Genomic DNA, 5594 nt, shown 5'->3' with positions numbered 1-5594 from the left:
TAAAAACCTTGCCATTTGAGGTCTGAAAGTGTCCAAACAGTATATAGGAAGTGAAATATCAAGAAATTCTACTAAAACTTGGTAAGAACCAAGAACTTGGTAAGAGAATTTGTGGCATTTAAGACACAACTCCCTTTTACTCTTCACAGCTCAATTTGATAGAAGCTTCTCTGTGGGTGGATGCTGCCAAGATGATGGGGCTGCAGCTGTCAATCAAGGTTTGTCATATATCAACAGGAGGGGCATGCCTCCAGGGTTTCTTATCCCCACCAGCTCTTGGTTAAAGTGGCTAAATTCCTGGTGAACGCAACTAGGAGGTTTGGGGCTCCTTTGCTTCCCCCAGCCCCACCCAGAGTTTGGAAACTCTACCCAGGCAGAGTGAACTCATTTGCACCCAGATTGCCCTTGCCTCCACTTGCTTCTAAGGCAGAGGTTTCATAACATAAAAAACAAGATGGCTACAACCCAGCCCATTACCCAGAATGGTGGTTCAGAGATTTTGTCCAGAGGGAGTGGCAGTCCATAAGAATAGAGCTCTGAAGCTCTCTCCAAAGGAATGGACTTTATCTGAAACAGTGTCAAACAAATAGCTCCCCTAAAGTAAACACAACAACATAAACCATAGGCCAGGTAGTTAATCAGATAATTCCATGGGAAGAGACAGCTAAGGAGCCCTCCAAAGGTCAAAAGAAACCTTAAAAACTGGCCTCAAAAATTAGCCCTGCCTGACTTAAATTATATTAAACTGCTTAATAATTTAGGCTCCAAGGAAATGTTGAAAACAATGGAGTGACCAGATAGACGGCAGCGGAGCTTAGTGGGCTGGAAATAATACCAAGGGGGCAGTTATCTTAACAGAGAGATAGGGAAAGATAGTCAAAAAGACTCCTGTTTAAAACCATTGTCACAGCAGGGTAACTGCATATGTTTAAGGCTGAGGAACAACACAAAATACTTCACACTGCAAGGGGAAAGGGAAATCGATTTTACTAAAATAGCTTAGCCAAAACACAAAATACATAGCCAAGCAAACAACAACAAGAACAAGCTCTGGAGAGGGGACAGGCAAATCACTACAGTATGTTTCCTAATATGTCTACTTATTAGGAAAATAATAAAAAGTAAATTAAGACATGCAAACAAATGGGAAAGTTGGACCTATACACAGGAGAACAGCAAGCAGGCCAGGTGCAGTGGGTCACACCTGTAATCCCAGCACTTTTGGAGACCAAGGTTGGCAGATCACTTGAGCTCAGGAGTTTTGAGACCAGCCTGGACTACATGATGAAATCCCATCTCTACTAAAAATACAAAAATTAGGCAGGCATGGTAGCACATGCCTATAACTAGGCTAAGACACGAGAATCGCTTGAATTCAGGAGGGAGAGGTTGCAGTGAGCCAAGATCACACCACTACACTCCAGCCTGGGCAACAGAGCAAGACTCTTAAAAAAAAACAAAACAAAACAACAACAACAACAAAAAAAAACGGCAACAGGTTGGCCTATGACAGGGAACAGATGTCATATTTAATAGACAAAAACTTCGATGTAGCCATTATATATTCACAGCAGTAAAGGAAAATATAAAGATAACGTCTCATCAAATAAAGAAAATCAATAAGGAGAAATGACAAAATGAACCAAATGTAAGTTCTGGAGTTGAAGACTACAGTAACCAAAATAAAAAATTCATTAGAAGGGCTAAACAAATTTGATCAGCAAGTAAATAGAAAACTTTCAAACAGATCAATGGAAATTATGCAACCTCAATTCCATCTTCCCACTAGAAAAAAGAATAAGAAAATAAAATGAAATAGAATGAGAAAATAGAACAAAGAAAATATGAACAGAGCCTTGAAGAACAAGAAAATATGAACAGAGCACTTTTAAGTGCATGAACATACATGTAATGAGAATACCAGAAGGAAAGGAGAAAGAGAAATGAGCACAAAAATATTCAAAGAAATAATGGCAAAATACATCCACAATTTGTTGAATAAACATTAATCAATACCCACAAGCATCTCAACAAACTGTAATCAGAATGAATGCGAAGATATCCATGAACAGACCTATCATAGTAGAAATGCTAAAAGTGAAAGAAAATGTTGAAAAATATAAGAGAAAAATGATGTGTCGCTTACAATGGAACACCAATCGATTGACAGCTGACTTCTTATCCAAAGCAATGGAGGGGATGAAGGTAGTGGGATGATATATTCAAAGTACTCAAACGACAAAAGCTCTGTCAAGCAGTAACACACTGTCTTTCAAAAATGAAGGTGAAATAAAGCCCTTCCCAGACCTACCACATAAGAAATTGTAAAGGTTATTCAAACAAAGCAAGTAAATCTACATGGAAATTCAAAACCACATTTTTAAAAAGAACAAAATTAATATAATTAAAATTACAAAAAGCAGCACAAATGCACATTTCTTTTTACTTCTCTTAATAAATTTAAAAGGCAGTTGTATAATACAGTATGTACATAATTATATTGTTGGGCCTATAACATGGAAATGTAATATATTTGACAATAACAGCATAAAGGAAGTAAATGACAGCAGAGTTGTATTGGAGTAAGGAAATGATACATGATAGTAACTAGAATTCATAGGAACAAAAAAAGAAACAGAAATAGGTGGCCAGGGGTCGCAAGCTGGTGGAGGACCTGCCCATGGAGGAGCCCAGGGAGTCAGTGCTTCTTCCCTCCCTCCCCCACTCCCCTCCCCACTCCCCCCCACCTCCCCAAGAATGTTCCACTATGAGTCTTGGGAGGATTGTCTTCTGGATGAAGATGAAGATGAATTTCAGGGACTGAGAGAAGAAGATGAAGAGATTGATCAATTCAATGATGATATTTTTGGGTCAGGTGCAGTTGATGATGATTGGCAGGAAGCACATGAGTGCCTGGCTGAATTGGAAGAAAAGCTACCAGTGGCAGTTAATGAACAAACAGGCAATGGAGAAAGGGAAGAAATGGACTTGTTGGGTGACCATGAGGAAAATCTGGCAGAAAGGCTCAGTAAGATGGTGATTGAAAATGAACTAGAAGATCCAGCTATCATGAGGGCAGTGCAGACCAGGCCAGTTTTATAACCCCAACCAGGAAATCTGAATTCCAGTATCTGGGATGGATCCAAAGTTATGAGGCAAATCTGAGGACCACTGCTCACTTAGGAAATGTCTACAGTGTCTGTATTAGAATATGCCTTGCCTCAGAGGCCCCCCAGGGTCCAGAAAATGATTGGGACCTTTCTGAACATGCATTACCAAGGTGGTCAACTTCACCTGTCATTGGCAGTCCTCCTGTTAGAGCTGTCCCCATAGGCACCCCACCTAAGCAGATGGCCGTACCCAGCTTTACCCAACAGAGCCTGTGCAGTCCTATTCCATAGACTTTCCTCCGCCTGAAACCAGCAACTGAAAACGAAAGCCAATTTGGAAGATTCTGCGTTCAAAGCCTGTCCATGTTCGGCCCCCAATGCCACCGTGTTATCCTGGTCCCTATGATGAGAGGATGCCTCCAAATCAGCTCTACAGTGTCCTGAACTCTTCCCTCCTGGGTCACCCTTTTCCTCCTAGTGTTCCTCCTGTTCTCAGCCCCTTTCAGAGAGCACAGCTTCTTGGAGGAGCACAGCTACAGCCTGGACAGATGTCTCCCAGCCAGTTTGCATGGGTCCCTGGATTTGTTGGTAGTCTGCATGCTGCTATGAATCCCAAGTTGCTACAAGGGCAAGTTGGGCAGATGCTTCCCCCAGCACCAGGCTTCCATGCCTTCTTTAGTGCTCCACCCTCCGCTACACCACCTCCACAGCAGCGCCCTCCTGGCCCAGGACCTCACTTGCAAAACTTAAGATCTCAAGTCCCAGTGTTTAGACTGGACGCAACTCCCCTCCATCCACAGCACCATTGACTCTTGCATCAGAGACAGCAACAGAATAGAAATCAGCATCAGAATCTCAGTGGTGCAGGAGATAGAGGAAGTCACTGGAGCAGTCATCAAGATCATCTCCGAAAGGATCCATATGCCAATCTCATGTTGCTGTGGGAAAAGGATTGGGCCTCTAAAATTCAGATGATGCAACTGCAAAGCAATGGTCCCCACCTGGATGATTTTTATTACCAGAATTACTTTGAAAAACTGGAGAAACCATCAGCTGCTGAAGAAATACGAGGTGATGGCCCTAAAAAGGAGCATAACAAGCTTATTACCCCTCAAGTGGCCAAACTGGAGCGCACCTATAAGCCAGTACAATTTGTGGGCTCTTTGGGAAAGCTTACTGTTTCTAGTGTGAATAATCCCTGAAAAATGATTGATGCTGTTGTGACATCTTGGAGTGAGGATGATGAGATAAAAGAAAAACAAATTCGAGACAAGAGGAGAAAAACCCGTCATAATTAAGAAAACCTACAGTTTACTCCTTGATGTGGAGGACTATGAAAGACATTATCTCCTAAGTCTAAGACAGCGACCTGCTCTAATGGATGAGCGAAAGTACGGAATTTGTAGCATGTATGACAACTTAAGAGGGAAACAGCCTGGACAAGAGAGGCCTAGTGATGACCGCTTTGTACAGATCATGTGTATCCAAAAAGGGAAGACAGTGGTTGCCCGTATTCTTCCTTTCCTCTCCACAGAGCAAGCAGCTGACATTTTCATGACAACAGCCAGGGACCTCCCTTTCCTTATCAAGAAAGATGCACAAGATGAGGTGCTGCCATGCTTACTGAGTCCCTTCTCTCTCCTCCTCTATCATCTTCCAACAGTGACTATCACCAGCCTTTTGCAACAGCTAATGAACCTACCTCAAAGTGCAGCTACACCAGCTCCCTCCAATCCTCACTTCACTGCTGTGCTCCAGAACAAATTCTGACTGGATTCCACTGAATCCCTAGATCAATTTGAGAAATGACTTCTAAACATTGGGTCTTCTCATCTGTAATTATGGAAGATGTTTCAATTTATTAAGGCCTTCCCTAGCTTCTCTCAACAAAATTGTGTAATTTTTAGGTAGTAGTCTTGCATGTGTTTTGTTAAATATATTCCTAAGTATTTTATGTTCTTTATCAATGAAAATTTTTTTGATTTCATTTTCAATTGTTTGCTATGATAGAAAAATTCAATATTTTTGGTATATTGTCCTTGAAACTACCACTAAAAATCCTTTCCGCAAAGAAAGGTTGACTCAGATGACTTCAATGGCAAATTGCCCCAAGATTTGTCAAAAAACCAAAAAGAATATCTAGGGAAAATAAACAGCTAACATAGAACTTTATGATAAATTATTGACTGCTTTTTCACTAAAGTCAGACTCAAGGTAAGGATGTCTGCTCTGATAATTTTTTTTTTTAAGACAGCGTCTTGCTCTGTTGCCCAGGCTGGAGTGCAGTGGCACGATCTTGGCTCACTGTAACCTCCACCTCCAGGGTTCAAGTGATTCTCCTGCCTCAGCCTCCCGAGTAGCTGGGATCACAGGTGCACCACCACACCCAGCTAATTTTTGTATTTTTAGTAGAGATGGGGTTTCGCCATGTTGGCCAGGTTTGTCTCGAACTCCTGACCTCAGGTGATCCAACTGCCTCAGACT

At 41.7% G+C, this 5594-nt stretch overlaps 1 pseudogene; it reads left to right on the top strand.

Annotated features, from left to right (window-relative positions):
* Nucleotides 1–3054: 3054 nt before the first annotated feature.
* On the top strand, nt 3055–4893 carry LOC390933 (PAT1 homolog 1, processing body mRNA decay factor pseudogene; annotated as a pseudogene).

This window comes from Homo sapiens, chromosome 19, assembly GCF_000001405.40.
Source record: "Homo sapiens chromosome 19, GRCh38.p14 Primary Assembly".
NCBI classification, from domain to species: Eukaryota; Metazoa; Chordata; class Mammalia; order Primates; family Hominidae; genus Homo; species Homo sapiens.
The sequence above is the reverse complement of the archived record's forward strand: the minus strand, read 5'-3'. Positions and strand labels throughout refer to the sequence as shown.